The sequence below is a fragment of the Homo sapiens genome, chromosome 5 (assembly GCF_000001405.40).
Source record: "Homo sapiens chromosome 5, GRCh38.p14 Primary Assembly".
Lineage (NCBI taxonomy): Eukaryota > Metazoa > Chordata > Mammalia > Primates > Hominidae > Homo > Homo sapiens.
This window is the reverse complement of record NC_000005.10, coordinates 62,553,309-62,578,505: the sequence shown is the minus strand read 5'-3', so window position 1 is coordinate 62,578,505 and position 25,197 is coordinate 62,553,309. Positions and strand designations below refer to the sequence as shown.

General features: G+C 37.4%; 1 protein-coding gene and 1 pseudogene across 2 annotated transcripts in view, besides 2 other annotated features; one reads left to right on the top strand and one right to left on the bottom strand.

The window, feature by feature from the left end:
* The window catches only part of IPO11 (importin 11), a 215,820-nt gene that overhangs the window by 50,077 nt on the left and 140,546 nt on the right, over window positions 1-25,197 (bottom strand). For both annotated transcript variants that reach the window (NM_016338.5, NM_001134779.2), the window contains exon 27: window positions 17,249-17,370. In NM_016338.5, the coding sequence (NP_057422.3) occupies window positions 17,249-17,370 (122 nt within the window). The remainder of the gene's footprint in view (window positions 1-17,248; window positions 17,371-25,197) is intronic.
* On the top strand, window positions 2,235-2,531 carry RPL35AP14 (ribosomal protein L35a pseudogene 14; annotated as a pseudogene).
* Window positions 8,554-9,185: an enhancer, noted in NCBI's record as "NANOG-H3K27ac hESC enhancer chr5:61865148-61865779 (GRCh37/hg19 assembly coordinates)". NCBI's record gives its function as "activates a minimal SCP1, AML or CMV promoter by ChIP-STARR-seq in naive H9 embryonic stem cells {active_cell/tissue: H9 hESC(naive)}" and the evidence as "EXISTENCE:reporter gene assay evidence [ECO:0000049][PMID:30033119]".
* Window positions 9,186-9,818: an enhancer, noted in NCBI's record as "NANOG-H3K27ac hESC enhancer chr5:61864515-61865147 (GRCh37/hg19 assembly coordinates)". NCBI's record gives its function as "activates a minimal SCP1, AML or CMV promoter by ChIP-STARR-seq in naive H9 embryonic stem cells {active_cell/tissue: H9 hESC(naive)}" and the evidence as "EXISTENCE:reporter gene assay evidence [ECO:0000049][PMID:30033119]".

Below are 25,197 nucleotides of genomic sequence, written 5' to 3'. Positions count from 1 at the left end.
TAGCTATCAAACAACATAGCTACTGAATGGAAAAGGCTAGTTCAAATAAGATGTATATCGAGTAATACAATTTTTTGTAAACTTTTTAATGAATAAAATATTTATGTTGTGTTAAATACGCATTGAAGACTTAAACTTTATGCTTTATTCCTTTAATAAAAATAGGGGAAAAAATTTAGAATGAACATAAATGTTGTTATATTATCCTCCAGTGCTCTTTTTAAAATTTTCAAAATATTTTTGGTTGCAAAAAATACTGAGTACTACTTAATACGTGAGGTACTAATTGGTAGTAAGCTACTAATTAGTAGTAACGCACTAATTGGTTGTGTTGGGTTATAAGATGTTAAGAAGCTGCATACCAACTTACTGACATAGGTTATCTTTGCAAGAAAAATTGGGGAGAGTAAAAGAGGCGATGTTTCGCCCTATATATATCTGTATCAGTTTGAATCTTTTAGAACAAAAATGGAGAATTTTTTAACGTCATTTTTCAAGAATTTAAAGAATCGGATATAAATTGTTTATATTATATATTGTTCAGTCATTAACTTTCTTTCATTAACTTTAAGCTAGTTGCTTAAGCTTTCTAATTCTGACTTTTATTAATATTACTAATAGCCTGATAATATTCCTAAAATATCAAGTTATATAATTGTATACAACTCTCCTTTGATATTAAAGCAGTTTCATTTCACATCAACAATTACTTTAGAAATAATATGAATTATGTCCATATTAGAAAGCTGAAATAATACCTAGCATTATCTTTCTATGACTAAAAATTCAGCAATGCATACTGGATAGCAGATCGTTATCAAAATGACTTATGATTCTTACACCTATCCATTATGGCTGGTTACTGTTATTGCTATTTTATGCATTAAAAATGGAAAACAAAACAAGTGACAGAAATGATATGAATTTGAGGTAGGGGCTATGTTTCTCAGGTCCATTTTGTTTAGTACTTCCAATAATATACAAGGTGATATGAAGCTTGTCCCATGGATTTTTCAATTTCTTGGGAAAAATTCAGAGAAAGGGTCCTTTGAAATAAAAATAAAATTAAAGAGAAAAAACCCACAAAGTAATATAACCAGAGTATGAATTAATTTTGTTCTTTATGCCAAAAATATCCAAAGCAGTAAAGAACACTTATTAGGATGCAAAGGTAAAATTTTTAGGAAACTGTATTAAGGAAAAATGACAAAATAAAATCTCACTTCTCACATTCTAAAAACTGAAGGAAACTAAACTGACTTCAACAAAACAAGCAAATATAAATAGTACACTGTAACTCTCAGGTTGAATGGTTTAAAAAAAAATTCCTATCTCCAGCAAAACAAAGTTTAGTCTTTCTGTTCATTTAGGAGTTGCTGTTCTTAGAGACAACTGATCAACAATGATTCCTCATTATCCTTTTCTGATTACTAATGTTCATTACAACTATTACTGAACACTACGCTCAACCTCTTAAATTAGTCTTCTATTTCTTTCCAGGAAATTGACTCATTGAGCTGTTTTCCTCTCATTCTTGTTGCTGAACCTTCTTTTACACTGCCTTTGTCTTCAAATCATCTCATGCTTCTGGTATTAATACACAACTATTCTCTTTTCCATTCAGATTCTCCCCATACAAAAACAAGAATGTATAAATAACAGAGCAATTGTTCCATTAGCTCTTTTAAATATACATCATCTGTATGGATGCATGTATTCTTTTGAGACACAGTCTTGCTCTGTCGGCTGGGTTGGAGTGCAACAATGTGAGTACAGCTCACCACAGCATCGACCTCCCAGTCTCAAGTGATCCTCTTCCCTCAGCCTCTTGAGTAGCTAGGACTGCAGGTGCATGCCACCATGCTTTTTCTTATTTTTGTAAAGACGGAGTCTTGCCATTCTGCTCAGGCTGGTCTTGAACTAGTAGGTTCAAGTAATCCTCCCACCTTGGCCTCCCAAAGTGCTGGGATTACAGGTGTGAGCCACTGCGTCCAGCCTATATGTATTTAGATATATACCATCTATATATAAACCAATCAAGATTGGTTTACATATAAAGAATGGCTTATAATAACAGCAGTTACTGATTTTATGGACCTTAAAAGTCACTGATGGAACTAAAATCAAGAGAATGAAAATGTGAAATGGGATTTGCAATTAAAAATAATCCAGCTCTTCCTGCCATCATGAAGCCTGTCGAGGCCTGCTTGGAACATGACTTCTAAAAGGCAAGTATTTCTGGAAGGCTGTCATCCAAGGCCATTTTTGCGCTATAAGCAGGGTCTCTGGAACCAAAGGGAGCACACAAATCTTCTTAAAACTGAAGGTGTTTATGCCCAAGATGAAACTGAATTCTATTTGGGCAATAAATGTGCTTACGCACACAAAGCAAAGAACAACAAGTGACTCCTGGCAGCAAACCAAACAAAATCAGAGTATTCTAGAGAAAGGTAACTTGGGCCCAAGGAAACATTGGCATGGTTTTTGCCAAATTCCAAAGCGATCCTTCTGCTAAGGCCATTGGACATAGATGCTGTAACCCCTTAAAGATTTAAACTAATGAAAGGTAAATAAAGTGGACTTGTGTTCCTGGAAAAAAAAATTTAGCAAACAATTTGAGAATTCTTTTGCTCAATGTAGGAGATAAATTTTAATGAGGGGCAGTATATCTCAATATAGACCTCTTATCAGTTGCAAGAAAAAAAAATAACAACATAGTAACTATACACAGTGGGGAAATCAGATAACACCTTGACCAGCATTAACATCATCAGTGAGAAACAGATGAGCACCATGTGACTTTGCCTGTGATATTCCAAGAGGGACACATCACTTATGCAATATTCTAACGAGAGATGCATACATAAATCTAACCATAAGGAAATATCAAACCACAAATGAGGAACACTCTATTCTGCTGGGGGAGGTGGGGAGAGGATGGATGGGAGACAAAAACAGAGAGGCAATTGGAAAGATGGAGAGAGATTATAAGGAGTGGATTATTTAAAAATGTTATAAGAGAAAAAGAAAAGACTGAGGAAATGACATGACAGAGTAAAAGAGACTACAAAAACACAAGAACTAAAACAATAATTGGTCCTAGACTGTAAGTACTGAGGAGTAAGAGACCATGGCAAATACAACTTACACAGAAATGGTTCAGAATATAAAACATCTATCTAGTTATCTGACAGAAAATGTGTATCACGCAACAAACTGGGACAAAAGTTAACAACAGGTGATTCTGGGTAAAGGTCATATGAGTGTTCTTTATTGTTCTTGCAGTGTTTTTCTAAGTCTGAAATAATTTCTAAGTGAAAATATCATGACAGTAGCTATGATATCCGTGTAAAATTTGTCCATGAGCATTACTGCCAAGATATGTCACCATTTCTAAGTTTTTAATGTATGCTTTAAAATAAAAACAGAAACAAATATTGTGCTGCCATAACATGGCAAAACTATGAATATCTCTATTTGCTCAATTGTCAACAAGAAAATCAACTAAGAAATTTTTAGCTGCAAATCTATTTATGAGAATAAAAAATAAACTTTATGCACTTTATGCATGAGAAGCATAAAATTTCAACTATGCCTGTGACTATGCGGCTTTAAAAGCAAACTGATACTTTCTAAGGATGTACTGACACTAGGACACTTTCAAGGAACATTATTAATCACCCCCCAGCATGACTTTAGAAGAACATTTTTAACTTCTTGATCTCTGTTCCTGTTACACAGTCATTCTGAGAAGCATATTTTATTTCCATGGACAATTTTAGGTACCATCCTCATTGCGAGTATATGATGATAAATTTCTTTGATGTATATTGGCATAGTTTTACACTGCAAAGCACAGAAAGCAGAACTATTAAACAGAAGGGCTGTTTCAACTTAGAAAAAGCTAGCAGAGATGGATTAGAATTCAAAATATCTCCTCTTTCCCCTGGCTCCACATGAAACCTTTGGAACACTAATCTCTCTTCTGACCCTATCCACCACCTTCTGGGTTTTGCTGAGATAGACTAATCTCACTCAGCAGATTATAGTTCAGATCTGAGCTATATTAGAATTTCTCTTTCGTGCAAATCCCTTCCATTTTGATGGTTCTTATTTTATGCTTATATTACAATTTCCAGTTTACCATAGTCCCTAAAATCCCTAAAGTTTTAAACACACAAACACACGCACATGCACCAGAAGAAGAGAGGAGGGAGTAATTAGCCTAACAGATGATTTAATAAGGCTATGAGAGAGCTAAGCCTCTTCCAATAACTATAATAACCTTTGTGAAATTATTTTCTTGCCTCAACAGACAATATTATAAAATGGATGAAGTTACATGAATGAAGACTGTATTGAATATAGAAACTAGCATATGGAGTTAAAAGCACAGATTTGGGAGTCACTGTTTGTATTTTGAGGATAATACTTATATAACAAATAGCTATAGTTAGAAAGAAGTCCTACAATAAAATGGGATGCCTTAAGGACCAGGGACTTTTTATTAGCCAAGTATCCAAACAGAAGTTGAATGAACATCCCCATCAGAGATGTTACAGAAGGAAAGTTTATTACCAAATAAGGATTAACCTAAATAACCCCTAAGGGAACTCTCAATGTTAAGCCACCAGTGCTGAAGACCACCCAATACGGCTGAGAGGTATATGTACAATACTGCAGGGGCATCAAGGCTCCACACAATACTATCTATGTCAGGCATGAGACTAGTCAAATTGACCACTGTGTGAAAAATAACTCCAGAATCATGCCTATTTTTGTAATTGGAATATGGTTAACTGCTTCTTGGCACCCAAATTGCTAACCTTTTCACAGCTGGCCTTTGAAACATCTTATAGCTTGGATTTGACAGAACTTCTACCATTTAATCTCCATTATTTTGACCCGCCAAAGAAGCATCAGCAGTTCTTTCTCACTACAATAACCACTGCTCATAATTCATCCATCAGCTCACAGATCACACATATTTCTACTATGTAGTATAATATAGCTACTCAGTAATTCAGAAAAATTCCCTATATAAAATCTAACTCACAACTTTAAAAAGGAGTATACAGTCAGAAAGGTTAGTGAAGCAGAGAAATTAGGATAAACAGAATATAGGATTAACTCCTTTTGCTACTGCTGGATCAGATCTATTTATTGATAGAGTGCTTCTATGACTCAGAGAGTGTTCTCAACATTCTTCAAGTATTATCTCTTTTTAATCCTCACAGGAGCCCTATAAAGTAGGGTACTATGATTACCCTCATACAATGGATAAAAAAATGAGACAGAGAAATTAAGAGTAAAGCTTTAAAGTAGCCGGGCGTGGTGGCAGGTACCTGTAGTCCCAGCTACAAGCCGGGAGGCAGAGCTTGCAGTGAGCCGAGATCATGCTACTGCACTCCAGCCTGGGCGACAGTGTGAAACTCCATCTCAAAAAAAACAGTAAAGCTTTACACCCCAAGAAGATACTACCACATTTCCATATATAAAATTTTGTTCGTATATAATTTACGATAGGAGGTTTTTCGTAACAAACGGAACTTGAGAAAATGAAACAAAAAATGAACAATGTGCAGTGACCAAACTTCATAACTAACTATGAAAGAATGTGAAAGGCCTGGCACAGTGGCTCCCACCTGCAATCCCAGCATATTGGGAGGCCCAGGCAGGCGGACTGCTTGAGTGCAGGAGTTCAAGACCAGCCTGAGCAACATGGCGAAATCCCATCTCTACTAAAAACACAAAAAACTAGCCGGGTGTGGTAGCGCAATCCTGTAGTCCCAGCTACTTGGGAGGCTGAGGTGTGAGAATCACCTAAGCTTGGGAGGTCAAGGCTGCAGTGAGCCAAGATCATGCCATTGCACTCCAGCCTGGGCAACCAGAGTAAGACCCTGCCTCAAAGCCTCAAAAATAAATAAATAAATAAATAAATAAATAAATAAATAAATAAACAAACAAATATACATATACACAATGATTGTGTACTATAAAATCAAGATATTATAGTTTAAAGGTATTGTGTCCTGTGAATAAGCTAGCATTTTAGAGTTGTAAACACCAAATAATACTTCCAATGTATTTTCTATGTCATCTCTTCCGGATAAGTATCTATAATGCAGTGGAGAGTCTCAATAAATACTTTCTTAATAAATGCACTTGATTTCTAGAGAAAGGACAGAAGAATGATATGTTGTCCCTTTTATGAACAACTTAAATAAAAACGAGATATGTGGTTTTAAGTGGTTGGAAGAAGTACCTTACTTTAATAATGAAATATCTAGGAATATGATCTCATTTTCTAATCAGACTAACAAAAATGACTCAGAAATAGTAAAACCAGATTGTGGAATAGAAAAATTAGGCAAAAGAGCATTACTTGAGGTACTCAATAGCCTGGCAGAGAAGACATTAAGAGTAAGATAGACTGGACTTGAATTTCAGTTTGGTACTTGACTTTGGGTGGGTAATTAGCCTTTATTAGTCTTGATTACACATTTAAAAGGTTTAATAAGGCCGGGTGCAGTGGCTCATACCTGTAATCCCAGCACTCTGGGAGGCCGAGGTGGGTGGATCACCTGAGGTCAGGAGTTGAAGACCAGCCTGGCCAACATGGTGAAACCCTATCTCTACTAAAAATACAAAAATGAGCTGGGCGTGGTGGTGTGCGCCTGTGATCCCAGCTAATGGGGAGGCTGGGGCAGGAGAATAACTTGAACCCGGGAGGCGGAGGTTGCAGTGAGCTGAGATTGTGCCACTGTACTCCAGCCTGGGCGACAGAGCAAGGCTGTCTCAAAAAAAAAAAAAAAAAGTTTAATAATGTCCATCCCCATAGGGATATTGGAAGAATCAACTGAAATGTATATGAAAAATGTATTGTCAAAAGGCTATCACAAATTATGTGTTCTATTAGTTATTATTTACTTCTTGTTATCAGTTTCTTCACACATAAACTCTTTCAAAAGAAAGAGATGTACCTACTGAATAAGCTGGTATCATCACACAGTTGGTCAAATTGATTTAACAGTAGAAACAATGATTTACTGAGTGGTCATATTCATTAAGCATTTTAGAAGGCATCATATATACATTCTCCAATTTATCATAATAAGCCCTAGGTGCTAGCTGTTATCACTGCTTCCATTTGAAATATGAGAAAACTGAGAATGACAGAAAACTGGTCCAACTTCACACAAACAGTAGGCAGACCAGGCATCTGAAGCTAAATCTAGTTTCCTTTCCATTATAATGAAAATTTTTCTCTCTGGTATTCTGGATAGAATAAAAGCAGAAACTCAAGGAAAAGAATCTCCAAAAAATAAAATGAAATAAAATAAAATAAACAAAAAAGATGTTCCTCGAGCTATGAAGGAACCACTTGTGACATACACATGCATCATCTACATGGGTAAAACTAGAAAGCACACGAGACTCATTATTTTACTCCTCTGAGTACTTTTTCTAGTGTTATCCTTGTTGGAGCTAGTTATTCTGTGTATAATTATTTTTCTATATCACATCAACTACTTTGAGGCTCTGGACCCAATACCTCACTCTCACTGAGAAACATCTCTTATTCTCATTGTAAAGCAGTTTGAGGTCCTGAAACATCAAAATAATCTCATTTGATCACAGTTTAGTTTTTCTTAGGTGATATGTTTAAAAGAAGTGTCTCACAGAATGGTCAGTGATTAGCTAAGCGCACTCAGTGTCTATAATATGACTGTTACATAAGAAAACAGTTTGCCAGAAGCTTTTATCTAATTTGCAGACAGGGCACTGTTCCTAGATATGAGGAAAGCATTGAGAACGTAGTATCAAATTAACAAGCATTCAGAAACTTTCCTAAATAGTCAGGACAGGAGATGGAAGACACAAATTGTTGTTCTAAGATGCCAGAGTGCAATGAACAATCATCTATCCTAAAGGTGAAGTACAATGTGCCCTCAGTGCACAGCATGGTGATCTACCACATAATAGCATCTTTAAAACAATGCTATTGTATTAGTGTCATAAGGTTGATATCAGAAGAGGAACAGGTGAGCATTTTAGTTCTAATGTATGTTTCAAGGGTAAAGTAAATTTGTATTAAAAATGAAAACCAAAACAGACTATTTCCATTCAAATCCTAACATAGGAAGATAGAAACACCTCAAAATACTTCAAAAAGTGTGGGACTTTTTTGGGGGGAGTGGAGAGGGGAATATCTGGTTTTCAAAGAACTTTCAGAAGCTTAAAAAAAAGTTTTATAAATGATTATAACCCTTCAATGAAAAATCAGTAAGCCAAGGAATTAATCATTTACCTTCTTTTTCAATGAAATTGCTTTGTATACAGATGAAAGGAGTGAGCATCCAATTGTACTGTTCTAACACGTCTACACCCTCCAGCTTCTGCTGGATTAAAGCTAACAAAATTCAGCTTATAATTATTAGCCAATTCAAAAATAGGTATGTTACGCAAATTATGCTGGAAAACCAGTCCCCAAACTCACAAGAGCCAAAAGATACATATGCATAGCTTATACAAAAAATAAAAATAAAAGCTGCATCAAAGGGTTTTTTCCCAGTTGAACTGAAATAATCAGAACCAATAATTACTACAAATTGCATTAGATTATATAAAAAGAAGGAAAACATACATAATGTAAAGATTATTTTGATCTTCTAAAGATATATAGCCCCTTTGTAAACCATATATTCAAAGAGTGGTAAGGGAGCAGAATTTCAACATCTGAAGTCCTGAAACTTCAAAGTAATCTTATTCATGTCTCTATTTTCCTCGCATAACAATGCAAGAAAGGGATTAGTCATCATTCAATATACCCCATGAAGACTGTTTCTTTTACAGTCAACTCTGGCAAAATAAAAATTGTAAAGAACCCTCCCCTTGTTACTTCACTGCCCCTTTCCACAAATTACTATATAATCAGATAATGGAAACTAGGTTAGAAATCAGCTCAGGCTGTATTTTGAGTAAAAACATCAACAATAAGAGCAACTACTCAGAGAACAGGCAGAGCAATATGGCAAAACAGAACCCTCCAATGACCAATTCCTTGCATTCCTCCACTGGAACACCAATTTGCAGAATAATCTGTAGAATTATCCAGACAAGAAAATACCTTCACAAGAGCTAAAGAAACCAAGTGAGAGATCGTAGTACCTGGTTTTAGCATAGAACAAGAAAGGGCACATTGAAAGGGGAAGAAAGAACAGTCTTTCATTGCCTATACCATTCCTATCCCAAATCCAGGCAGTAAAGGGCAGAGACAGAAGCTGTGTGCTTGGGGGAGAGAGAGAAGGAAGTTTGCAGACAGCTTTGCCTTGGAAGCTACTACCAGCACCCACCTCCCCTCCCCGCCACCCACAATAAATCACAGTACTGGGTCCAACTCCAAACAGTAAAGCACAAAGAGAAATTCCTTCCATATGAGGGAAGAGAAAAGTGAGCAAAGGCCTTTGCCTGGGAACCCTAGGAATTCTCAAGTCCCTCAGGCTGGTGAACAGCACACCTGGCCTTAGGGCACTCTCTAGTGCTAAAATGGCTGCAGTATCCACAGGCTTAGGGAAGTGAACAGTCAGTCCCTTTTGAATTCCTGAAGACCCTCTGAAGAAAGACAGGTACAAACAAGGCCAGGCTGTGAAGACAGAAAAAATATCTAATTCTTTAAAGCTCAGACACTGACATACCTCTACAAGCATCAAGAACATTCACCTAAATATGATCTCATTTCATATTTATCACACTAAATAATGCATCAGTGATCTATCCTGAAAAGATGGAGATGTGCAACCTTTCAAAGAATTCAAAATAGCTTTTTTGAGGAAGCTCAACAAATTTCGAGAAAACACAGAAAATCAATTCAGGAACTTATCAAAAAATTTAACAAAGATATTGAATTTTTTTTTTTTTTTTTTTTTTTGGAGACAGAGTCTTGCTCTGTCGCCCAGGTTGGAGTGCAGTAGCACAATCTCGACCCACTGCAACCTCTGTCTCCTGGGTTCAAGTGAGTCTCCAGCCTCAGCCTCCCGAGTAGCTGGGATTACAGGTGTGCACCACCACACCCTGCTAATTTTTTGTATTTTTATTTTCAAAAAATCAAACGGAAATACTAGAGTTGAAAACTACAATGGACAAACTGAAAAATGCATTAGAGGGTCTCAACAGCAAAACTGATCAAGCAGAAGAAAAAAATGAGTAACGTAGAAGACAGAATATTTGAAAATACAGTCAGCCTGGGTGTGGTGGCTCACATCTGTAATCCTAGCACTTTGGGAGGCTGAGGTGGGTGGATAGCTTGAGCTCAGGGGTCTGACCAGACTGGGCAACATGGCAAAACCCCATCTCTACAAAAAATACAAAAATTAGCCAGGTGTGGTGGTATGCACCTGTAGTCCCAGCTAACTGGGAGACTGAGGTAGGAGGATTGCTTGACCCCAGGAGGTTGAGGCTGCAGTGAGCCATGATTGTGCCACTGCACTTCAGCCTGGGCAACACAGCAAGACCCTGTCTCAATCAATCAATCAATCAATCAAAAGAGAAAAATAAACAAAACACAATCAAAGGAGGAGAAAAATTGAAAACAAATGAATAAGGCTTACGAGATCTATGGGACAGCATCAAAAGAGCAAATGTAGCGGGGTGCGGTGGCTCACGCCTGTAATCCCAGCACTTTGGGAGGCTGAGGTGGGCGGATCACCTTAGGTCAGGAGTTTGAGACCAGCCTGACCAACATGGCTAAACCGTGTCTCTACTAAAAATACAAAATTAGCTGGGTGTGGTGGTGCATCCCTGTAATCCCAGCTACTCGGGAGGCTGAGGCAGAAGAATTGCTTGAACCCAGGCGGCGGAGGTTGCAGTGGGCCGAGATCGTTCCAATGCACTGCAGCCTGGGCAACAAGAGTGAAACTCCATCTTAAAAAAAAAAAAAAAAAAAAAGGAAATGTAAGAGTCATTGACCTTCAAGAGGGAGAGAAAAAAGGGTAGAAATAGTAAAAAAAATAATAATAATAATAATAATAATAGAAAATTTTCCAAATCCAGAGAAAGATATAAATATTCAGGGACAAGAGAGTCAAAGACCACCAAGGAGATTCAACCCACATAAGATGATTCCAAGACATATATATAATAATCTAATTCTCAATGATCACAAAGAGTCGATCCTAAAAGCAGCAATAAAACCAGTAACATATAAAGGGGCTCCAACACATCTGGCAGCAGACTTTTCAGTGAAAATCTTCCAGGCCAGGAGGGATGACATGTTCAAAGTGCTGAAGGAAAGAAAGGGCAACCAAGAATACTGTAACCAGCAGAAATATACTTCAAACATGCAGGAGAGATAGAGACTTTCTCAGACAGACAAAAGCTGAGGGAATTCATCACCACAGGCCTGTCTTACAAAAACTGCTGAAAGGAATTCATCAATCTTAAAGAAAATAATGGTAAAATGTAACAAGAAAACATCTGGATGGATAAAATTCCCTGGTAAAGGTTAACTACACAGCTGGGTATGGTGGTCCATGCCTGTAGTCCCAGCTACTCAGGAGGCTGAGGTGGGAGGATCACTTGAGCCCAGGAGATCAAGGCCTGCCTGGACAATAGAAGCTAAACTCTGCCACTAAAAAATATATATACACACACATATATATATATTCTTTTTAAACTACACAGACAAAAATTCAAAATTATACTCTAATTGTGACTATATCACTCATATCTTTATGAATTATAAAGACAAACCTTTTTTTTTTTTTTTTGAGACAGAGTCTTACTGTGTCACCCAGGCTGGAGTGCAGTGGTACGATTTTGGCTCACTGCAACCTCTGTCTCCTGGATTCAAGTGATTCTTAAGCCTCAGCCTCCGGAGTAGCTAGGATTATAGGCATGCACCACCATACCCAGTTAGTTTTCTGTATTGTTTTTTAGTAGAGATGGGGTTTTGCCGTGTTGCCCGGGTTGGTCTCAAACTCCTGGCTTTAAGTGATCTGCCTGCCTCGGCCTCCCAAAGTGCTGAGATTACAGGCATGAGCCACTGTGCCTAGCCAAAACAAAACTATTAATAAGAAAAATAACATTTATGCACCCAACAAACATATGAAAAAAAACTCAACATCATTGATCATTAGAGAAATGCAAATCAGAACCACAATGAGATACCATCTCATGCCAGACAGAATGGCGATTATTAAAAAGTCAAGAAACAGTAGATGCTGGCGAGGCTGAGGATAAATAGGAATGCTTTTACACTGTTGGTGAGAATGTAAATTAGTTCAATGATTGTGGAAGACAGTGTGGCAATTCCTCAAGGATCTAGAACCAGAAATACCACTTGACCCAGCAATCTCATTACTGGGTATATACCAAAAGGAATACAAATCATTCTACTATAAAGACACATGCACACATTTGTTTCTTGCAGCACTATTTACAATAACGAAAACATGTAACCAACCCAAATGCCCATCAGTGATAGACTGGATAAAGGAAATGTGGCACATATACACCATGGAATACTATGCAGCCATAAAAAGGAATGAGATCATGTCCTTTGCAGGGACATGGATGAAGCTAGGAGCAATCATCCTCAGCAATTAACGCAGGAACAGAAAACCAAGCACTGCATGCTCTCACTCATAAGTGGGAGTTGAACAATGAGAACACACCGACACAAGGAGGGGAGCAACACACACCAGGGCCAGTTGGGGGGGTAGGGGGTGAGGGAGGGGAGGTTGAGCATTAGGACAAATAGCTAATGCATGCGGAGCTTAAAGCCCAGATGATGGGCTGAAACCTACACGTTCTGTATTTGTATCCTGGAACTTAAAGTATGAAAAAAAGAAAAATGACCACAACAATTTGTTAAGAAATGGCAATATAAAAAGATATAAACTGAGACATCAAAAAATCAAAATGTGGGGGAATGATGAAGAGTGCTTGGTGTTAGTTTGTTTCTTTTCTTCATAATCGAAATTAAAGTTGTCATCGGTTTTGTTTTGTTTTGTTTTTCTTGAGACAGAGTCTCACTCTGTTGCCCAGGCTGGAGTGCAGTGGCGCAATACTGGCTAACTGCAACCTCTGCCTCCCGGGTTCAAGCAATTCTCCTGCCTCAGCCTCCTGAGTAGCTGGAATTACAAACATGTGCCACCACACCTAGTTATCTTTGTATTTTTAGTAGAGATGAGATTTCACCATGTTGGCCCAGGCTGGTCTCAAAGTCCTGACCTCAAGTGATCTGCCTGCCTCGGCCTCCAAAAGTGCTGGGATTACAGGTGTGAGCCCACTGTGCCTGGCCTGAATTTGGTTATTTCTTTAGGTCCATTTTCTTAATACAAAACTTACTATGTATTTCAGATGCAAAAATATATCTTTCCCATTCAAATCATCTTTTAGAATTAGGTACTGCATTAAATAGATGAGAAAAAGAAGGGGATGAAATAAGGACAGCTAATTCCATCTATGTAGACAGTTTGACCTTACATATGTAAACTCAATCTTAATCCTGACAACAACCTCATTAGAAAGATACTATTAGTAACTCCATTTTAAGAACAAGGAAACAGGCACATGGGAGTTAAGTAACTTGACCATGGTCATTAGCAAGTGACTGATGGCCCTGGGATTTGAGTGTGGTCCTAAAGTCTGTAGTCTTCACTGAATTTCTAAGCCAAAAGTAGTGGGTTAGAGTAAAAGAGTTTAACCATTTCCCAAATGGTCATTCTTTAGAGTCATGGTTCTAAACTGGGGGCAATTTGTCCCCAGGGATATCTAATGGCAATGTCTGATGATATTTTCAATTGTCGTGACTTGAGGGGGTGGGAGGAAGAGGAGAGTGCAACTGACATCCGGTAGGTAGTGGCCAAGGATGGTGCTAAACATCCTACAATGCACAGGACACCCTCCCACAAAAAATTATCATCTGGACCCAAATGCCATCATAATAAAAGGAGGAAAAAATGACATTTCCCAATTTAGTCTGACTTTTAAAATCATCAACATCATACTTTAGACATGCCTTATTTTGGGAAAAGGAAATGGTATGCTGTAAAATCTAAAAGAAACGCAAGAATAGGAAATTACTAGTATGTAGAAAAATAAGAAATCATCATTGAGGATGCAGAAGAGGAAAAATACCCCCTAACTCCAACAACTATGTAGTTAACTAGAATAAAGGTTACAAATAGGAAACAATAAAACTGCTGACTTGAATATCAGCACGTTCCACTACAGTATGTGACTATAAATCTTCCTAAGTCACAAGCCAATTACTATGTGCCAAATTTCTACTGCAATAAAGGTTTTTTTTTTCAGATTGTTACAGGTTGATACAGATTTTCTATATCAATGTTTCATCACTAGTCTATTAAGGATATTATGAAGTTAAATCATTATTCTTTAAAATTCTACTACCACATTATTCAAGACTTTCTCAGTACCCTTAAAAATGACATGACTTTGCTAATGCCCATTAGATTTGTATTTCATCTTAAAAACAAAAATTATATCTGATCTTCCATCACAAGGCTACCACCTCACAACTTTTAAATTTAAAATTCCAGTGTTTAAGAGAATTTCAAGTCTTAATAAAGTCCTATCCCTCAATTTATGTAAGTTGACTTAAGTCCCAGTCTAAGTATTAATTTTTCTTATAGATGCCAACGATAGATTGAGCATCCCTAATCCAAAAATCTGAAATGGCCCAAATCTGAGATTTTTTTGAGTGCCAGAATACTGCTACAAGTGGAAAATTTCACACAAATACTTTGTTTCATATACAAAATTATTTAAAATATTGCATAAAATTATCTTCAGACTATATGAGGTGTATATGAAATATAAATAAATTTCACATTTAGACTTGAGTCCCATCCCCAAAATATCTTGTTATATATATGCAAATATTTCAAAATCTCAAAAATCCAAAATCTGAAAGAAACATTTTAGATAAAGGATACTCAACCTATATTAAATTTCCACAACTTACATGTCAAAAATAGTTTTGAACAACCACACACTTACATAATATTATATGTTGAAGCAAACAGTATTCTCATTAAAAATGTAAAACAAATTTTTCTGATACAATTAGGTATCTTTCTAAACTTAACCTCCACCATTTCTAGCTTTCTTTCAATAATCTCAGTACTTTATCTTGGAGAAAACTCTAACATGTCTTATTAACTCATTTTTTTCCATTCATTAATTTATCTAACAAGCAGAGTGCTGACTACCACCAAGGACCATGTTCTTTAACATTTCAATATTAAAAACCTCAATAATTCTCAAGTCACTTTTTTCCCAATGAGAGAAAGAAACACCAATGAGTTAAAATGTAGGTAACTTAAATTTGGCTTTCAAAAATAAATAAGATGCCACACCATTTCACAGTGAAGAAATCTTTTCATCTTGTGCATGTCCACCTGGGGAGCAATATCACCTGGTGGTTAAAAGAGGCATTCCTAGTGTTAAGCAGCCCAGGTTCAAATTGGCTTATGCCATGTCAAATGCTAGATCTCTTATCTTAGATATGTTACTTAACATTTTTAAGTAATTGTTTGCTCTGTGAGAAGGGATAATCATGTCTATACCTCATCGGGCTGTTTTAAGAATTAAATTACCAACATAAAGCACTTAGGAAAGTATGTGGCATTTGCTAAGTACTATCTATTGTTATGATATTGCAACAAAATAATTACATATGTCCTTAATACAAATTACCATAGTAGAAGTAAATAATACATAAAGAACAAATAAGGACTTCTAAAACTGGACTTAAGTCACTAATTTATCACTAGTATATGTATGCTCTAAAATTTCCCTAAGATAGGGTTCCACAACCCCTGGGCCATGGACTGGTACCAGCCCATGGTCTATTAGGAACCAAGCTGCATAGCAGGAAGTGAGCAGAGGGCAAGCAAGCATTACTGCCTGAGCTCCGCCTCCTGTCTGATCAGTGGTGGCATTAGATTCTCATAGGAGTGGTAACCCTATTGTGAACAGTGCATGCAAGGGATGTAGGTTGCACACTGCTTGTGAGAATCTAATGCCTAATGATTTGAGGTGGAATAGCTTCATCCTGAAAACATCCCCTTCCCCTCCCCCAGTTCATGGAAAAATTTTCTTCCACAAAACAGGTCCCTGGTGCCAAGAAGGCTGGGGACCGCTGTCCTAAGACATAAAGATCTAATGTAGTATCATTATTCTTTTAACACAACATCAAGCCCTGAGACCTGCTTTTAAGCCTTTAGAATTAAAAGTACAAAAAAATAGGGGCCCAGCATAATGGCTTTGGTACAGAAGGGCAGCAAAAAGGGCTGTTATGCCATCAACAAGGTGGTGACCTGAGAATATACCACCAACATTCATAAGTGCATCCATGAAGTGGGTTTCAAGAAATGTGCTGACCATGCACTAAAAGAAATTTCAAAATTTTGCTATGAAAACGAAGGGGGCTCCAGGTGAGTGCACTGATATGAAGCTCAATCAAGCTGACTAAACCAAAAGTATAAGCAATGTCCCATACCACATCCATGTGCAGTTGTCCAGAAAATGTAATGAGGAAGAGTCACCAATGAAGCTGTATGTTATTTATATACCTGCCACCACTTTAAAAAATCTACACAGCATGAATGAGAACTAGGTACTGACTGTCAAAGTTTATTTTTAAAAGTATTTCATGCCGAACTCCACAAAATGGAATTAAAACAAAGAAACATATTCTTCTTTAAATGACCAAACCAAAGCATTCTGTATTTGCTTTATGGGAGTGAGAAGTTTTAGAAGAAAAAAAACAACTTGCAAACGTCCTTAGAAATAATCCAAAATAAAAAGAAAACAAAACTAATAATACTGTTGAATTAACACACTTTATAACATACTTTATGAAGTGCTATTGACTTTGAAATGTTAGATATTTAATATATCTATGTAAACAGAGGACTGAAGATTAGTCTAATAAAACGTAATTATAAAAAATGGAAATTCAGACAAGAATGAAATAAATTTGTAAAATGAATACAACCAAAATAAACTACAGCCCCCACAATCCAACAGTACCTATCCCACTCACTGCTTTCTGGATCCAGACCAACATTTACCACATCATTATCAGCTAACAAAATTCACATCCATATATATAAAAGTACCACTGCCCAGCAACACACAGCAATACTGATGGCCAAAAATAGTGTTTACATTTTGATGCTTGAAAGAAACAAATTTTAAGAAAACATTTCCTCACCTATTATCAGATGGCAGAAGAGAGAGCAAAGCCAAAGCTGAAAGTTTTCTTCTTTCAGGCTGGGTAATGTTGTCCATTCGATCAACCCACATTTCAATCATATTTCCCAAAAGCTGGTCCATCTGAAACAAGAGGAGGAGGCATCTCAAAATACCTAAAATATGTTTTACTTGTGGGTAAATACTTTTAAAGGCTAAAGCCTCATAAGTCATGGTTAAAATTCAATTATAGTAAACCACAGAACTGGAATACCTGAACTGGGGTTAAGTCATGAGCTGGAAATGGATAATTTGAGCAAAACCAGAAACTGACTCTAATTAATCCTGACAGCTAAGCAGACTTATTCAAAACATGTATGTAGCCCATGAGTGATTTTAGTAGTATCATTTAATAAATCACTGCCAATCTGGTACAATTAAAAAAAACATGCATTTTTCAAAACTGTCAACTTGTACTTAGATTATTCTTTATTCAATTGGATGACTACTGTTCACTGTTCTCTAATTTGCTAGACTAATTTGCTGCTACCCTCAGAGGAGAGGACAAGTTGCAACCTCAAACTGCAGAGTTTCAAAGGAAAACAAATGAATTATTTCCTAAGACATTTGCATGCTACACTAAAAATGATGCTAAAACAAATCAACATAATACAGAATGTGATGGCTAATTTTATGTATAAACTCTGCTAGGCTAAGGTGCTCAGTTGTTTGGTCAAACACTAGGCTAGATGTTGCTGTGACAGTATTACGTAGATGTGATTAACATTTACAATGAGTTGACGCTAAATAAAGGAGAATGCCCTAGATAATGTGAGTGGGCTTCATCCAATTCACTGAAAACCCTAAGAGCAAAAACAGTATGCCCAGGAAAGAAGAAATTTTGCCTCAAGACTGTAACAGAAATCCTGCCTGAGTTTCCAGCCTGCTATGCAAAATTCAGACTTACCAGCCCCGAAAATTATGTATGCCAATTCTTTAATCTGACTGCGGAGACAAAAATGACTCCATCTTGAATGCTAATCCAATATGATGGCTTCTGATTAGCCCTAGTCCTGGGAAGGCCTCCTGATTTCTGCTTTATTTAGTGTCCCTAGTGTAAGGACAAAGCAATCTTGACTTTACTGCACTAATTATAGTCTATGCTGCATATGGCATTCTTGCATGTTCTGGAAGGGTACCTTTAATTGTCTTGCCAAGAGCACATACAGCAATTCCCTATAAAATATAATAAACCTGAGGGTCTGGGAAAAGTAGCAGTGTGAACATCTACCTGTCTTGCTGCCCCTTGAACAAATTAAGAGTTGTTTTTCTCTCTCTTTTTTTTTTTTTTTTTTTTTTTTTTGAGACAGAGTTTCAGTCTTGTTGCCCAGGCTGAAGTGCAATGGCGTGATCTCAGTTCACTGCAACCTCTGCCTCCCAGATTCAAGCAATTCTCCTGCCTGAGCCTCCCAAGTAGCTAGGATTACAGGCATGTGCTACCACACCTGGCTAATTTTGTATTTTTAGTAGAGACAGGGTTTCACCATATTGGCCAGGTTGGTATCAAACTCCGGACCTAAGGTGATCCACCCGCCTCGGCCTCCCAAAGTGCTGGGATTACAGGCGTGAGCCACCGCACCCAGCCATGAGGAATTACTTCTTATGGATGAGGAAAAAAAAACAAAAACAAAAACAAAAGCAACAAAGAGTGGTTTCTTAAGATGGAATCTATTCCTGGTGAAGATGCTGTGAACACTGCTAAAATAACAACAAATGATTTAGAATATTACATAAACTTAATAAAGCAGCAGCAGAATCTGAGAGGATTGACTCCAATTGTGACAGAAATTCTACTGAGGACCAAATAGTCCATCATCATCATTAAAAAAAATGAAGTTTCAGTGATTTTGTTATCACTACCAAAACAACCTACTGTTCATTATCCTTCGCCTGCAACTTGCTTCAATCCTCTTTTATTTTTCCTTTTCTTGCTCTCTGAGGACCATTCAGTCTTCAGTAGAATTTCTGTCACAACTGGAGTCAATCCTCTCATTCGTGAAGGGAAGAGTCAATTGATGCAGCAAACTTCATTTGTCTTATTTTAAGAAACTGCCACAGCCACCCACACCTACAGCAACCACCATCCTGATCAGCCAGCAGCCTTCACTATCAAGGCAAGACCATCTACCAGCAAAAACATTATTCACTGAAGGCTGAGATCGCTAGAATTTTCTAGCAATAAATTATTTTTAATTCAGATACAAACATTATTACTTTAGACATAATACCATTGTGCACTATTAATATACTACAGTATAGTGTAATTATAACTATATGCACTGGAAAGCCAAAAAATGTATATGACTTTTGCTATGAAGATACTCACTTTATTGTGGTAGTCTGGAACACCAAACCCACAATGTCAAGTACATCTATACAAGTTTTCTAAGAGGTCGGAAACAAATCTACAATGTAATAATACTCTCATTTTAATATTAATTTTGTTTTTATTAAATATTTTATTCGTTAAAATATTCTATTAAAACTACACAGTAAATGGTATTGAAAAAATGCCGATAGTATTTTTGTTCATTTTGATAGTTAAAAACTGCGTTTTTTATTTCAAACACAACTGTTTATTGTCAATTCATGATGATACTTTACTTTTTTCCCTGACTGTTGCAAAAATTCTTTACTTTTGCCAGTGGAACTTTAATAGAAAATAACTGACATTCTGATAAAATATAATTTAGACCCTTCAATTCTTAATGATATAATTCTTAAGCATCTTTGCACCTAAACTTTATGTTACTAGCAATAGCAAGCCACTATATTTTTGTTGAAATAGTAAAAGTTTCTTTATTCCAGGAATAAATACTAATTTTAGTTTGCACTGAATCCTATATTTACGTAGTTCTTGAACACTTCAAAAATTGTTAAATATACCAGATGATGTTCTAAACTAGCTTATTATTGATAGTTTATTACTGATAAAAATTTCTTCACTGTACTCCTGCAGATTCAAAACATGTGTTTACAATACTTAAAAGGAATGCTCAATTTTTTACAGTAAAATTTATACTATTCATTATAACACTTATTAAAGTCATTTTTTACCCTGTTTGCTAATTTGCAGGATTTAGGTCAATATTTTAACAACTGGTATGACCACACTGACATCTATCAGCTGAGTATCAGTTCTGGGCTGCAGAATTTATAATTAATTTAACAAGGATTCAAAACACACTTTTAAAACCACAGTACATTGAGCCTTGGTATAAAGTTCTAGGTGACTTACTATAATTCTAGCTCAACAAATGAAAAAACAAACAAAAAAAATAGAAGGCTGAGTGAAAGACTGAAAAGTAAAAGCCTGAGGAGAGAAGGCAGAGAAGAGAGGGCTGAGAGTTCTTTTCAGCCATAGTTGGGGTACGGACAGTGCAGCAAACATATGAACCAGTCAAACCTCATCAGTGTAACGTGAAAAATATCAAACCAGCTGTCCAATCCAGAAGACCAAATGTCTAATCCAGAATAAGAACACAGCATTCTGGAAAGGAATGTATTCTAGGTACCAGCACAATGAAGTGTGGATATAAAAACAATATAGAACTGGGAAGAAAAAGAGGGAAAAATAGGCATTGTAAGATCTGGATTAGCTCACTAGCCTATAGATGGAGGAATAACAGTATTTCCCTTACATTTCTATTACTGATTTCCTGTCAAAACAAATGATATGTCAATGGGAAGTGAGAGACCAGGGGTATATTTTAAGTTCCTAAGCAAGAAAGAGCTCATGCCAGGCATGGTGGCCCATGCCTGTAATCCCAGCACTTTGGGAGGCCGAGGCGGGTGGATCACCTGAAGTCGGGAGTTCAAGACCAGCCTGACCAACATGGAGAAACGCTGTCTCTACTAAAAATACAAAATTAGCCAGGCTTGGTGGCGTGCACCTATAATCCCAGCTACTTGGGAGGCTGAGGCAGGAGAATCACTTGAACCCGGGAGGTGGAGGTTGCAGTGAGCTGAGATCGCGCCATTGCACTCCAGCCTGGGCAACAAGATTGAAACTCCGTCTCAAAAAAAAAAGAGCTCATGACCATCCCAGAGTTGTTATCAAGGATATAGAGACACTGACAATAATGTTTAGATAACACATTGAGGGGCACTCACAAGTGAGGCCAAGCATTCAAATGGGATCTAGGCGACTGAGGTGAAAACCCAAGATATTCAAGGGGACAGGATCCTGATGTACCAAGGGATTTTAGAAAGGGCTGGACATGTGAATACATCTAACAAGAATACTGAGCCCTCATCAAGTAGAAGTTTTGTAAAATAATCACAAGCTACAAAAAAGCCACAAAACAAACAATCAAAACCAATTACAGTAGGAATCTGGGGGTGGAAGGAGTATCCAAGACTAGGAGAGCAAGGAAAGGAAAAATAAAAGAGGATGGAAAGACGATGAAAGGAAATTGCAGGTAAAGGACAATGAGAAGTAATAAAAAGTAGGTTGTTTTGGAAGTGATATCCAAATCACTGAAACTTCATTTAAAAAAAAATTCTCATTTTAATTTTTTTGGTTTAAAAAAAATTTAAACTTTTTTTTAGAGACAGAATCCTGTTCTGCTGCCCAGTCTGGAGTGCAGTGATCACAGCTAAGTGCAGCCTCAAATTCTGGGGCTCTATTTATTTTTAGTTTTTGTAGAGATGGAGTCTCGCTTTGTTACCCAGCCTGGTCTTAAGCTCCTGGCTTCAAACAATCCTCTCACCTAGACTTCTCAAAGCACTGTGATTACAAGGCATGTGCCACCACACCCAGCCACTGAAACCTTAAAATGTGTTTGCTTTCAAAGTTACCAAGCAGTAACTGGAGTAGTCCTCATATGATGCTTTAATTATATGATACGCAAAGCTAAGCCATTTTATTTATTTTTATTTATTTACTTATTTTTGAGACAGAGTCTCACTCTATCACCCAGACTGGAGAGCAGTGGTGCAATCTCAGCTCACTGCAACATCTGCCTCCTGGGTTCAAGCAATTCTCCTGCCTCAGCCCCCCAAGTAGCTGGGATTACAGGTGCCTGCCAACATGCCTGTCAAAAGTTAAGCCATTTTAATTACTCAATAAGATGTATTTTTTTTGCATGATGATGCAATATTTTAAAGCTAACAGCAGCCCAAAGAAAAATATCAATGTTAAATTACATTTAACTGATTTAATATCACACTGGATTGCATTTGGATTTAATCAGATCAAATGTTGATATGGACCCAAATGACATTTTCTTTTTCTTAATTAAAAACTAGATTAAAAAAAAACTGAAGGTGGCTGGGCACAGTGGCTTATGCCAGTAATTCCAGTGCTTTGTGAGACAGGGGCAGGAGTATCTCTTGAGACCAGGAGTTCAAGACTAGCCTAGGCAACATGCAAGGCTGTATGTCTACAAAAATTTTTAAAAATTAGCCAGGTGTGGGGCCAGGCGCAGTAGCTCATGCCTGTAACCCCAACACATTGGGAGGCCGAGGCAGGCGGATCACGAGGTCAGGAGATCAAGACCATCTTGGCTAACATGGTGAAACCCCGTCTCTACTAAAAATACAACAAATTAGCAGAGCGTGGTGGCAGGCACCTGTAGTCGCAGCTACTTGGGAGGCTGAGGCAGGAGAACGATGTGAACCCGGGAGGCGGGGCTTGCAGCGAGCCGAGACTGCACCACTGCACTCCAGCCTGGGCGACAGAGCAAGACTCTGTCTCAAATAAATAAATAAATAAATAAATAAATAAATAAATAAATAATTAGCCAGGTGTGGTGGCACGCATCTGTAGTCACAGCTACTTGGGAGGCTAAGGTGAAAAGATCACCTGAGTAAGAGTTTGCGGTTGCAGTGAGCTATGATTGTGCCACTGCATTCTAGCCTGGATGATGGAGTGAGACTCTGTCTCTCAAAATTTTTAAATAAAACAGCAAATTTTTAAAATTTAAAAACATAAAAAAGTAAAAAAAAAATACAAAAAATACAAAAAAAAAGACACACCATGTTCGTGAATTGGTGAAATTAATACTATTAAAATGGCCATACTACCCAAAGCAATCTACAGATTCAATGCAATCCCTATCAAAATACCAATTACATCCTTCAAAGAGATAGAAAAAAAAATTTGTATGGGACCATAAAAAAATCCCAAATAGCCAAAGCAATGCTGAGCAAAAAGAACAAAGCTAGAGGCATCACACCACCAGATTTCAAAATATATTACATAAGCTGGGTGCAGCGGCTCATGCCTGTAATCCCAGTACTTTGGGAGTCCAGTGCAGGTGGATCACTTGAGGTCAGGGGTTTGAGACCAGCCTGGCCAAAATGGTGAAACCTCATCTCTACTAAAATACAAAAATTAGCCAGACATGGTGGTGTGTGCCTGTAAGCCCAGCTACTGGGGAGGCTGAGTCAGGAGAACTGCTTGAGCCTGGGAAGCAGAGGTTGCAGTGAGCCAAGATTCTGCCACTACACTCCAGCCTGGGCCACAGAGCTAGACTCTGTCTCCCCACCCCCACCCCCCCAAAAAAGTGTGTGTCTGTATAACAAATACAGTATATATACTACAAATACAGTAACCAAAATAGCATGGTACCAGCATAAAAACACACACAGACCAATAGAACAGAGAACCCAGAAATAAATCCATACATTTACAGCCAACTGATTTAAGAAAAAGATAGCATGAATATTTATGGGGAAAAAACAGTTACTTCAACGATGGTGCCAGAAAAACTGGATATCCATATGCAGAAGAACAAAACTAGATCCCTACCTCTCGTGATATACATAAATCAACTCTAGATGAACTAAAGACTTAAAATGTGAGACCCACAACTATAAGATTACTAGAAGAAAACATAAGGAAAACACTCCAGGACTCTGGTCAGGGAAAAGATTTTACTAATAAAACCTCAAAAACATAGGCAACAAAAGGAAAAATAGACAAATGGGATTCTATCAAACTAAAAAGCTTCTATATGACAAAAGCAACCAACAACAGAGTAAAAGAACATCCCACAGGGTGGGAGAAAATAGTTGCAAATTATATATCCAACAAAGGATTACTATCCGAAATACACAAGAAACTCAAACAACAGCTAAATAAAAATAATAATCCATTTTAAAAGTAGAACAATTATCTGAATAAACAGCTCTCAAACGAAGACATACGAATGGCCAACAGGTACATGAAAAAATGGTCAACATCTGCCAGGCGCAGTGACTCACACTTGTAATCCCAGCACTTTGGGAGGCCGAGGCGGGCAGATCACCTGAGGTCAGGAGTTCGAGATGAGTCTGGCCAACATGGTGAAATCCCATAGCCAGCCGGGGTGGTAGGTGCCTGTAATCCCACCTACTTGGGAGGCTGAGGCGAGAGATTCACTTGAACCCGGGAGGCAGAGGTTGCAGTAAGCCGAGATCGTGCCACTGCACTCCAGCCTGGGTGACAGAGTGAGACTCTGTCTCAAAAACAAACAAAAAAAAGGTCAACATCACTAGTCATCAGGGAAATGCAAATCACAACCACAATGAGATATCATCTCACTCCAGTTAGAATGGCTATTATCAAAAAGGCAAAAAAAAAAAAATGCTGGAAAGGATGTAGAGCAAAGGGAACTCAGGCACTACTGGTGGGAATGTAAACTAGTGTAGCCATTATGGAGAACAATATGAGTTTCCTCAAAAAACTACAAATTGAACTATCGTATGATCCAGCAATCTCACTACTGGATATATACATCTCCAAAAGAAAGGAAATCATTGTATTGAAAAGATACCTGCTCCCTCATGTTTATTACAGCACTGTTCAGAATAGCCAAGATATGGAATTAACCTAGGCACCCATCTACAGATGAATGGATACAGAAAATATCACACACACACACACACACACACACACACACACACACACACTCACACGAATACTAT